The 13,091-nt window shown below is 34.4% G+C and overlaps 3 non-coding genes across 3 annotated transcripts; 1 reads left to right on the top strand and 2 right to left on the bottom strand.

Moving 5' to 3' along the window:
- Window positions 1-1,239: 1,239 nt before the first annotated feature.
- On the bottom strand, window positions 1,240-1,340 carry LOC124902587 (small nucleolar RNA U13). The gene has a single exon (XR_007062420.1). It is a non-coding gene; the product is annotated as a small nucleolar RNA U13 (small nucleolar RNA).
- A 2,203-nt stretch (window positions 1,341-3,543) lies between these two features.
- MIR4679-2 (microRNA 4679-2) lies at window positions 3,544-3,620 on the bottom strand. Its single transcript, NR_039827.1, has one exon. It is a non-coding gene; the product is annotated as a microRNA 4679-2 (primary transcript).
- On the top strand, window positions 3,545-3,619 carry MIR4679-1 (microRNA 4679-1). The gene has a single exon (NR_039826.1). It is a non-coding gene; the product is annotated as a microRNA 4679-1 (primary transcript).
- Window positions 3,621-13,091: the final 9,471 nt, after the last annotated feature.

Below are 13,091 nucleotides of genomic sequence, written 5' to 3' on the forward strand. Positions count from 1 at the left end.
ACTGTAATATGAGAAAAACGCTAGAGGAAAACTAACCATGAAGCTATATCTCATAAAGAGCTTATGTGGCACTGAAGTTTTCAGGGGAAATTTGGGAAAATGCATTTTATATTTCTGGGGAAAATTACCAAATGTAGTTTATTGCCAACACCATTTGGTGTTCCAGAGAAATGGGCCCTTTCTTACAATGTTGTGGTTTATATCAATTGGTGTTAACATTTCATAGTAATTTTGCAATGAGAATTAAACATTTAGAAGTGTATCCATCTCTATTTCAATATTTTTAAAAAGTTCTAATAGTCATAAAATCAAATATTTATTTACAAGGATGTTTGCTATAGCATTATTCGGAATAGAAAAAATTATCTGAAAATAAAATTTGAAACTACCAATAAGTACTTTATTAAATAGTTTATTTGATACCCACACATTTGATGCCCATAGTATTATTTAGTAATTTAAAAAGTCATGTTTAAATGATAATTTTTGAGTGAGAAAATATTTCTGAAATATCAAGAGACAAAGAAGGATACACAAGAATATATATATATAATATGACACCCTTTTAATGGTACATATGGAAGATATTTACACCAAAATATTCACCATGAGTATAAAAGATATGATATGGCTTGGATCTGTGGCCCTGCCCAAATGTCATGTCAAATTGTAATCCCCAACATTGGAGGTGGGGCCTGGTGGGAATTGATTAGATCATGGGGGCAGTTTCTCATCAATGGTTTAGCACCATCTCTCTTGGTGCTGTTCTCATGAGAGAGTTCTCATGAAATCTGGTTGGTTAAGTGTGTCTGTAGCACCTCCCCACCTCTCTCTTGATCCTGCTCTGGCTGTGTAAGAAGGGCCTGCTTCCCCTTTGCCTTCCTCCATTACTGTAAGTTTCCTAAGGCCTCCCTAGAAGCCAAGCTGATGCCAGCATCACGCTTGTTATACAGTCTGCAGAACTGTGAGCCAATAAACCTGTTTCCTTATAAATTACCCAGTCTCAGGTATTTCTTCATAGCAATGCAAGAATACACTAATACAAGATGGTTGAGATCACGAATGAAATTTTATTGACTTCCTCTCTTCTTTTTTAGTAGTTTAAAGTTTTATACTTTAAATAATTATTCTTTATGCAATCAGAAAAAGGATATATTAACAAAATAGTGAAAAACTTAAAAATAGTAGTGATGTTCCTTTAAATTTCCTAGGGAAGATGGTGTGGCCTTTTTATTTTCACATCACACAGGTAACATGCCACAGTCACAACAATTTTTGAGGGAAGCTCATCTCACACATGAGCCTAAAAACCCAGTCACACTTGTGAGATACAAAAGAATCAATGTGTTCTTTTGAGAAATACAAGTAGGGTTGAGAAATATAAGTAAGTTTGAGAAAAAGCTGAAAGCCTAATAAATAAGTACTAAAGCCATGCTAATGAATAAAGAGACTCGACATGGTAAAAATGTCTACAAATTTAATGAAAATTCAATCAAATTTCAAACAAGTTTGTGTGTATGTGTATGTGTGTGTAAGTGTGTACATGTAGAAAGTAACAAGATGTCTCTATAATTTATATCAGAAATGCAAAATCTAAGAAATGCAAAAATCTAAGACAATATTACAGAGGAAAAACAAACCTTACTAGCTTATACACTACTAGATGTTAAGAAATGTTGTAATTAAGCAGTTTCAGTGTGGTACTTGTGCAAGAATAGACACACAGACCAATGAAACAGATAGAGGGTCCAGAAACAGACCTACATATTCAAGGTCACTTGATTGTTGGAGTGCAGTGGGGTCACGGAAAGGATGATTTTAATAAACGATGTTGAGCCAAGTGGATATACATATTGAACAAAATAAAGTTTCATTCCTAATTTTTGTTTTCACTGGAAATAGAAATTAATTTCAGATGGACAGATGGTAGACTGAAATACGATAGGTAAAGCAATGAAGTTCCTAGGTTAAAACTTAGTAAGAATGTCTTTATGACCTTGATGCAATCTAGAAGCACTAACCATAAAGAAAAAAAGATACATTGGATGCTACTGTAATTAAGAATGAGAGTCCATCAAATCATATTTTTAAGGCAGTGATAAGACAAGCCACAGAATGAACAAAGATATTGCAATACAGATATCACCAAAAATTTCATATACAGAATATATATTTTAAAACTCCCAAAAGTGAATAGAAAAAAAATCAGATAACATAATAGATAAAGTAGGCAAAAGAAATGAAAAGACACTTTACAAAAGAAGATATTCAAATGACCAACCAACGTAGGAAAAAAGTTCAAATGCTGATTGAAACCAATATAATTTCACAATTACAAGAATAGCTAAAATAAATAAGCAATCCCAAGTGTTGGTGATTTTGTGAATCAACCAGAACTCTCCTAAATTCTTGGTGGGAGTATGGGTTGATATAAATACTTTGGAATACTATTTGACTGTATCTAGGAAAGCTGACCATGAACATTCTCTATGACTTGGCAATTTCCTTTGCGAGCGTATGTCCAGAAGAAATGCATACATATAGTCACAATAAAACATGTAAAAAAATGTGCATGGCAGAATTTTTTGTGCCAGCACCAAACCAAAACTATCTCAAATGTCCATCAAGAATAGAATGAATGCCTAAATTGTGGAATTTTCATACAACAGCAGAAAAACAATGCTACATGTAACATATATAATTTTCACAAATATAATGTTGAACAAAAGAAGCCGGTATAAACTGTATTATTTCACTAGTATAAATAAAAAGCAGGAAAGAAGTAATCTATGTGTTATATATGAGCATAGTGGCTATCCTTGGAAGAGTAGTACCTGGTAAGGGCATAAAGGTACTGATAATGTTTTATGTATTGATTTACTTGCTGATTATCTGGTATGTTCACTTGTAAAATTTCACTAAGCTGAACACTTGAATGTGTGTTATACTTTAATAAAATATATACTTTAAAAGAAGCTGCTAAAGAAACCATTTGTATGTTTATATCAAGTTACCTGGTGGAAAAATTAGTTAGAACATGATTTAAAAACTTTTTTTAAGTTTAAGATAAACCTAGTTGCCAAAAACCCAGTGTGGCCTCAAGCTTCTATGTGTGTTGAAGTCTTGAGACCTAGACAGGATATAGGTTCCAATCATATTTTCTTCTTCAAGTTTCCTGATCTCTGAATTGGCTCTTCCAGTAAGTTCTTGACTTGGCCCCTCTTGGTAATTGTCTGATTTTGGTGCTCCAGTCCTTGGCTTCCTGCCTGACTCCAGCTTGGCTCAGCCCCAGTGTGTGATACCAGGTCCCAGTCCATGACTGACTTTTTGTCTGAATCGACTCATGGTTTCATCTCCCCAGTTTTTGCCCCATACCAGCAGTGTCTGATAAGCTTCCAACATGGGTTGATGAAATCACTTTTCAGATAAACCTTGAGAGAAAAAATTAAAACATTGAAAAAGATTTGTAGACAAAAATAGATTTTCTCTCCATTATGACTTATATAAAAGAAACAAAAGCAGAAACAAAAACTTTTGCTTTACCGTCTTTTTTCTGTGATAGAGATTCTTTGCTTTGTTAGAAACAAAAAGCAAAGAATCTCTATCACAGAAAAAAGATAGTAATAAGCACAGATGCCCAAAGAAGCCAGGCAGACTTTTTTTTTAAAGGTTTAAGTTTTATATAAAATGAACTTTTCTATTAAAAGAAAAACAGATGATTTTTTTCCATTTTTTTCTAGAATTATACAGCTCTCAGTCTAAATTTGTAACACAGAGAAATATGTGCTTACTATATATATGAAAAATAACAGTGCCAATACCTATTAATAGTAATCCCTTTTAGGGCAAACGTGGACTGTAGTAAGTTGTAGAGCCTATGCCTTATCTACAGCAAGTAGCTGCTATTCTGTTCCGTGTGTGATATTGTGGAGATGTGCAGACCTAGTGCAAGAAGAGATAGAACCTATGCTTTTAGGTAAAATCTCCTGGTTTGTAAATTTAAATTCAAACAATTTAAAAGACTGTGAATGTCAAATAAAATATGTTTGGAGCTGGATTTGGCTCAGAGACAATTAGTTTGTAACCTCTTCTAAGGGTTAGCTGTATATTCAAGATCTCTTCATTAAAGAAATTCCGGAGGACTATTCACGATGAAAATAACTAGAGATTTCAGTGTCCTGTAAAAGTCTTGGACCAATCAAGGAAGAGTCCATTTCAACCACTTTTTTTTTCTCAGATTCAGAGACAGAATCAGATTTAAGTAGATTAGCCCATTCATTCATTTATTTATTAACTCAACAAGCATTTATTTGGCAGCTGCTCTTTCCAGATGTACCTCAACTTGTTTCAATTCAAATTATTTAATTAGTTTCAAGTGGAAAACCAAATGAAAGCAAATTCACAAATAACAAAAGATTTTGCTCAAATGATAGCCCTAGGCTTAAATTTCAAAACCATGACCCCTCTCTGGAAAAATATTTGTGCATCAATTGGCTTTTATGGTAGTAACTTAGAGGTCATTCAAGGAATCTGGAAGAAAATTAAAAGCCTCTGAAAGCTGACTTTTTCAACCAAAGGGAAAAAAAGACTCAGTAGGCACAAACAATTCAATAAATGAATGCATGCAGAATGATATTTAGAAGTGAAAATAGCAATTAGGGCTAAGGTTCTAAGGGTCAAGGAGAGTTTTAAGAGTAAAATTTTGTACATATGTAAGTGGTCTCACTATTCCACTTCCAAGTCTATTTTTGTTTTAAAGGGAAAGGCATAAAGAATAAAATGTCAGTCACCCCAACATTTTTTTTTTACTTTTGTGTGTGTGTGTGTGTGCTTTTTCTTCCCTAATAGGAGGAGAGTTGAGATCACTACTCTTTTCTCTTGTTATTGTCTCTGGGGTCTAGTTTTTCCTTCTACAGGCCAATCTTTAATAAATATTTTTCTTCTCACAATGTCACTCGAAGAACCCAAACACTAATTCTTTTAAATGACAATGATTATCCTTTTATGCAACATCAATTCTCCAAGCTACTCGGGGGCTTCCCAGAGAAGATGTTGAAGCTGCCAACTCAACTCTTATTGAGTGGAGTCACTGTGAATTCTTTCCTGGAACCAAAGTGCGTCTTTTCCAAACTCTGTTTACAAAATTCAATTTCTTCACTCTTCAGTTCCAATACAGCTACTGACAAAGAAAAACGAGCACATTCTTTAGCAATTCCAAGGTCAAGATCATGGGACAAAAGGGCTCTGTGGTTTGTTTCTTCTTACCAATATCTTGTGCAGATGAAAAAGGGCTGGTAAATTTCCCTATAATAAGGTCGTCAAACTCATGTTTGATTCAGAGAAAAAAACTGTGGACTGTATTTTGTTTGCTTAGCCCTCATCCTAAGTAGAAAAGAATGGAAATGCTTAGAAAACTCTCCCTGGCAAGCTCTCCCTGTCTGCCCGTAACCTTCCTGAGCCTGTATTCCTTTCTCCATACCTGCTTCTCCTGGCCTCACATCTGCTGATTTATGAGCATAGGATGATGCCTTGGTGACAACAGGATATGGCTCCCTGCCTCCTAGATTTCTCTGCAATGACATTTTCTAGAAGAAGACAGTCTGTGAAGTTTACCTAGCACGATATTTTAAAAGTCCTAGATTTAGAGTCAGAATTCTAGCTGGATAAATCAACCTCGATAGCTATAGTTTCCTTATCTATATAATGGTGTTAAATATCCACATCACACAATTGAAATAAAAATTAAATTGAAAAATATAAAATATCCAGAATGGTGCTTTGTGCAAAGGAAGTTCTCTATTAATGATGGCTGAATTTGAATTCCTAAGAGAAATGGCATCTTGAACATTGATCATGTATTATTTGCAAAACTTTAAGAGAAGAGGCAATGCAAATTATCCACAAATATGTCTGTTTTCTTTCTCCAAAAGAATTGAATATATTACAATATTAGTAAACTAAACACAAATTATTTTGTCAAAATAGATGCAGACTTCCAAGCTGTATAGTTAGTAACACTATCACTGGAAAACTCACATTTTTCCCCAAAGAAACCCCTACAAGCTTTGAAATTCCAAATTCAACTATCCAGAAAATTAATATAAAGGTCAATATGGGACAGTCTTTCTAGTTGAAAATACTATTGATTTTTTTTCCACTCAACCATTTTTGAAATCTGAAAAATAGGTTAACTATATTTTAAACATTCACTTTGGTCTATCTGGTTCTTTATGGTTAAAAGTTATGGGATCTGGCCAGGCTTTTCTCTGGAATCAAGGATCATTGTCTGAGAAAGATCAAAACCACTCACTGTCTTGAGAGACTGACAGTTTGCCCTCTTCACTGAGCCTCTGCAGGGAAAACTGCATACATGTACTTTAAAAGCATTCTATTGAAGTACAACATACCTGCAGAAAAGTATGTACATCCTAAGTGTTCAGCACAACAAATTTTCACAAACTAATCACATTTACATAACCAGAAGCCAAATAAAAAATCAGGATAACAACAGGATCTCAGAAACCCCCCCAGGCTCCCTCCAGCCCTGCCCATCCAGGGGTAACCTAGCAGCATAGAGGAGTTCCACTAGTTTTTGTGTTATATAAAATGGCTCATACAGTATGTACTCTTTTTTGGTCTGGCTTTTTTCGCTCAACACCATGTCTGTGAGACTCCTCCATATTTTTGCATGTGTCTGTAGATCAGTGTAATATTTCATTGTGTGGATATATCACATTTGTTCACCTATCATGCTGATGGGTATTGGGGATTGCCCCCCACACCCAGTTTTTGACTTTTACAACTAATGCTGCAATAAGCATTTCAGTGATTGTATTTTGAGGAGCATATTGCATGTTATTTTTTTGGTTATATACCTAAAAGTGGAATTGCCAGATCAAAAAATAAGGATGCCTTTAGCTTTAGTAGATAATAAATACTAACTGTACAAAGTGGCTATTTCAAATTATACTCAACTGAAGTATGTGAGAATTCTGATTTATCCACATATTCATTAATCCTTACTATTATCAGTCTTTTTAAATATTAGCCATTCTTGTTTGTGTATAGTGATATTATATAGAAATCTCATGTGTATTTATTTTCAAATACACTTATTTGAAGGAAGAAAAAAGTGATATATCATCCTGATCCTGAAGAAGTGCAATCAGAGAAGGAATTTTTAGAATCAATAACCAAACTCCCACAGAGATGAACTACCAACATATTCACAGAGACATTTGAGCACAGCACAGCTGTGTAATATTATCCAGCTTCCTAATTTGTCCAGTCTAACAAGTAAGGTGACAGTTGATTTTTTTTAATTTGACTATTAGACTACTTATCTAGTAGTCTATTATTGTTTTTCTTGTTGATTTGCAGGAGCTTCTTGTATTTTCCAGATATTAATCCCTTACAAGTTTTAAATACCAAAAGCTTCTTATAAGCAGCCATACTTATGAATTATTTACAGTACTCATTTAATATATCTAAATTTGTGTTGTGTCCAAAATCCTTTTTCATTCTATTTCACTTATACCTTCCCGTTTTATTATTGATCAGTCTTGCAAATAAATAAGAATGCTATTTATAAAAGGATAAATGTAGTGAACCAAAGTCCTATAAATGTATCATTTCTTCTCAAAATAATTTCCAAGTTTAATACAATCAATTGAAAATATCACTAGATGATTTTTTAGAAACCTGGTACAATGATTTCAAAGTTCATCTGTATGAATAAAGATAATGGAGTAGTTAGGAAAAAAATTGAAAAATTAAAACAGTGAGAATTGACCTCACAGGTATTAAAATGCATTTGAAACTACCAAAAGAAAGAAAGAAACAGAGAATGGCATTGATTCATGACAGAACAGGAAGACCAGGATAGCAATTAAAATAATTGGAGTATATGTACTCACATACACATTAAAGGAAAATCACACAACAGCAAGAAAAGTGTAAATTATTAAATAAATGAGATTGAAAGGCAGTATAGCAAAGTGCACCATGGACTCTGGAGCCCACCTGCCTAACTCCAAATCTGGGCTCATCTATTTACTCCCATTTTTTTTTACCTAAGATAAGTCACTTAACCTCTCTGTGTCACTGTTTCCTCATTCGCAAAGTGAAGATTATTAGTTATTACATGAAAAAATGCTTTGAATAGTACCTGGCATATACAAAGTAAAGTATTTAAGTGTTAGCTATTATTTTTCTCTTTTAAGATGCCAAATTAAAGTTCTAATCATTTCCTTCTTTGTGATTCAATACAAAATCACAAAAAAGGGACAATGAAACACAGAATCTGTAACCCAAGCCATTACAGAAGAAAGGTTGTCAAGCGTAGGGAAGATCAAACTAAGCTTTGAAATGCCACTGAAGGAGAATACCTAAAGCTGGCAGAGAAGGGGCTGCAAAGAAAGTGATACAACCCAGGAGGCAAAGTCAGCAATTCTTTGTTTGGAACGGGGCATGAAGGCCAGAAGCTGAAGTTTCCTTGGTCTTATTTGTCTCCATGGAAGAGCAGAGAAGAGATAACTGAAGGGGGAAACTCACAAACCCACAATCTTTGTAGGAAGTAGTCTGTCAGTGAGACAGGGAAAGGAGAGAGACTAAATTCTGAGCAACTCTGACGTTGCTGTCCTTGTTTTCTGGGGAGAAGTAATATTAATAGCTAAAAGAATTCTCTTTTAATGCTTTTTTATTACGATTATGAAACACAATGGGAGATTAAAGACCATTAAAAGACCATTAAGACCATTAAAAACCATTAAGACCATTAAAAACATATTAGGTGTATGTTTATTTAACAAACACAATTTGTTGATTGTGTTTGGTGTTTAGTTATCTTCACTAAATAAAGCCAAACACAGATAGAGAAAGATTTTTTTTAAAGCAGTGAAAAAAGAAAGCACAACAAAATTAAGACATAATATATCTGTATTATCAAAAAAAAGTAAATAGGATAACATTACCTACTGCAGGGACAAGTTGATTTCTGGGCAGAAGACATTGGAAGAGACAAATAAGTGTCCTATATAATGATAAAATGTCAAATCCATGTAGATGAATAATAGCATCAATATTCATAAAGTGAAATTGTAGAAAACACAAGAAATAGAAATATAGTCACAGTTGAAGATGTTAATTTGTATCTATTGACCTACAACAGGACAAATTCAAAACTCTGAGAAACAGAGAACAAAATAATTTAATAGATTATATGTTCATACACATTCACAAACACATAAACATTCACAGAATTTGTACATTTTTTAGTGATTATGAAACACAATAAGAGACCATATATTAAGATACAAATAACACTGAATAAATTCCAAAAAATAGAACATACACATGATATTTCCATAATATAATAAAATTAAAACATAAAAACAAAACTAGGAGGAAAAGCTTATCACCTGGAGATTAATTTTCTTAAAAAGCCCTCTTTCTTCAAATCTAGGAACAAAATAAAAGTCAACATCTAAATTACAAAATATCTAGAAAATATTAGTTAAATTTGTCTATAAGAGAACCCATGGAGGTGCAGCTATTCTGCTCAGAGTGGGGTAAAGTGATGTTGGGGAATTCAGATACTTTGGGATAAAATTTTTTAACCTCTTAATCTGAAACAAAATAAGTTTGAGATGGATTGAAGAATTAAATGTATTAAGAAGTTGGAGAGAGACTACAAAAGAGAGATAAAAAGGAGTATAATGGAATAGTATACAGCTGACAAACACTCACACTGAAAACAATTAGAATAGAGAAAAACTAGCAGAAAACATCTGCTTTAAGCCACCAGAAAGTTTTCAAAGTAACCGGAACCTAAGACAAAATACAGAGAAGGGATCACTGCAACAGAGATGAGCTGCCATTCTGAATCCATTTTTTCATTCAAGGCATTTGCTACTAAAAGAAATTGAGTATGCGGGTGGAAGGCTCAGGCCACCTGCCAGGAAGCAGAAAAGCCAGCAAAGCTTTTGGCTGACTCTTTGGGTTAGACTAACCAAAATTAGAGACCTTGAGGGCCAAGAAGTCTCCTGAAAAGGAAAGAGTAGCGAACTGAGTCCAATGTTTTGCTATCTTTCTCCTTAAGACATTTGTTGAATTCTGAAGTTGCACATGGAAGGAGGCTAAGAAGTGGAACAGAAAACCTCTGAGAAGCAGAGAGGCATTAGGGCAGTTTCCAAGCGTTGATACGACAGCTAGAATGCAGGATCCACCTGTAGCAAGAGATCCCAGAGACCAACTCTGGATTTCAAGTAGGACACTGGGAGGCCATATTGTGTTAACAGGGTCCCCGAGTCCCTGAGAAATAAGCCCCTTGTCTACCTGGTGTTCAGTCTCAGGGGTTAAGAGGTAGCCGCTATTTCCTGGTTACTTAGGGTTTTAGCCCTAGTGACCAGGTGTGATAGCTAATTTTATGTGTCAGCTTGGTGAGGCAATGGTGCCCAGTTATTTGGTTGAACACTAGCCTGATGCTGCAATGAGGTATTTTGTAGATCTGATTAATCTTTACAATCAGTTGACTTTACAGACAGGAGATTATTCTTGATAATGGAGTGAGCTTCATTCAATCAGGATTTAAGAGCAGAAACTGGGGGTTACTGAAGAATAAGCATTTTTGCCTCAAGACTGAAACATAGAAATCCTGCCTGAGTATCCAGCTTGCTGGTCAGACCTACAGATTTTAGGCTCAGGACAGAGACTTCCAACTCTTGCCTGAGTTTCCAGCCTGCTACCCACACAAGACAGTTCAAACTTACCAGCACCACAATGATATGAGCTAATTCTTTCAATCTCCCCCTCTCTCTCCTCTCTCTCTCTTTCTTACCATATATATTAATATATGATATATATCATACATCCAGCCACCAATCCCAACAAGGCCTTCACATAAAGGAGATCCCTTAAAACATGTCTGAATTCTGAGGGCCCACAAATAATGGTACTTTATCAGGGGAAACTCAATATATTACTTGTAACTTATAATCTCACTGAAGGCAAATTTGTTAAAAGAGACTGACAGTACCTTCATTTCAATATGAGGCTGTGTTAGGCTGTGATTAAACAGGTCAAATTATGCACTTTTAAATGACATATTTAACAAACCCATTTATTGTAGCTTAAAGGACCAGCTGTAGACACTTCTAATATAGCTGCTTGAACCAGCTGCAATACCACAATGATTATTTTCAGATTGAATTGCTTATGTTTTAGCCTAGTTTATGAAATATTTTAAGGTCTTAATTTGTATTAAAGATAACATGCATTGTATTTAATGCTATAGCCCACAGAACATATTGCAGGGATGGATTTAATTTAAGCTAAAAATTCTTTAATTACTGCATAAGGAACCACCATGTTGAGTGCAGAAATTGAACTTGCATTCTGGGGCAAAATTTCCATGAGAGTAATAAATTAAATTAAAGCTGAAAAAGTGCCAATGATTCTCTTTAATTACTGCATAAGGAATAATCATATTGAGTGCAGAAATTGAACTTGCATTCTGAGGCAAAATTTCCATGAGCGTAATAAATTAAATTAAAGCTGAAAAATGCCAATGTTTCTTTATTGAGTCAAAATATAATATTTGTTTTGAAGGCATCTATGTTTTGTATTAAGCACCCTCTCCTCTATCTCAGCAGCTGTAACTCAAGTATGTCAATCATGGGAAGACCCTTTTGGACCTCTGTCCCCTCTCTCCTTTCCCACCTTCCGCCACACCACAATCTCCTCCATCAGCCTCTCACAGTCTTTCTCATCTTCAATATATGAGATGGGTTCTACTTAATAGCATTTTCAAATCAGTTAAAATCAGTTAAAATCATTTCAAACAATACACTAAGTTATTAATCTCTCATTCTGAAAGTCCACATTCAGAAAATGGAAGTTAGCTAAAATATATTTTCATTGATATACTATTTTTCTTTGTTAGAATCAGAGGTAGGATTCTAGCCCAAATATAAGTTCTCTGAAGGCAAAAACTTATTCATTACTATTTAACAAACATTTGAATTTTCCTCTGTAATACAGACACGACTTTATTATGGATTTTAATCACTGTACAGCAGGTTTTTTTTGAAATATTTATTTGTGATAGAAATACACGTAACATAAAATTGACCCTCCTATTTTTAAGTGTACAGTTCAGTAGTGTTAATTACATTCACATTATGTGCAACCAATCTCCAGAACGCTTTTCATCTTGCAAAACTCAAACTTTGTATTCATTAAACAAGAAATCCTCTTGTCTCCTCCAAGCCCTTGGCAACCACCATTCTACTTTCTGTCTCTATGGATTTGAATATGCTAAGTATCTCATATACACAGAATCATATAATATTTGACTTTTTGTTACTGGCCTATTTCACTTAGCATAATGTCCTAAAGGTTTATCCATATCATAGGATGTGTCAGAATTCCCTTCCTTTTAAAGGTAATTTTATAAATAATATGCCATTGTATGTACCTGAGGAGATTTTTTGTTTTTATTATTATTTTTCATTTCAATAAGTTTTGGGGGAACAGGTGGTGTTTGGTTACATGAGTAAGTTCTTTAGTGGTGATTTCTGAGATTTTGGTGCACCCATCACGCAAGCAGTGTACACTGTACCCAGTGTATAGTCTTTTATCTCTCACCTGCCTCCAACCCTTTCCCCAAGTCCCCAAAGTCCAATATATTATTCTTATGCCTTTACGTCCTCATAGCTTTGTCACACTTATGAGTGAGAACATACGATGTTTGGTTTTCCATTCCTGAGTTACTTCACTTGGAGTAATGGTCTCCAATTCCATACAGGTTGCTGCAAGTGCTATTATTTCATTCCTTTTTATGGCTGGGTAGTATTCCATGGTGTATATATACCACATTTTTTTTATCCGCTTGTTGATTGGTGGGCATTTGGGCTGGTTCCATATTTTTGCAATTGCAAATTGTGCTGCTATAAATATGCATGTGCAGGTGTCTTTTTTGTATAATGACTACTTGTTCTCTGGGTAGATACCCAATAATGGGATTGCTGGATCAAATGGTAGATCTACTTTTAGGTCTTTAAGGAATCTCCACACTGTTTATCATAGTGGCT

Source organism: Homo sapiens, chromosome 10 (genome assembly GCF_000001405.40).
Source record: "Homo sapiens chromosome 10, GRCh38.p14 Primary Assembly".
NCBI lineage: Eukaryota > Metazoa > Chordata > Mammalia > Primates > Hominidae > Homo > Homo sapiens.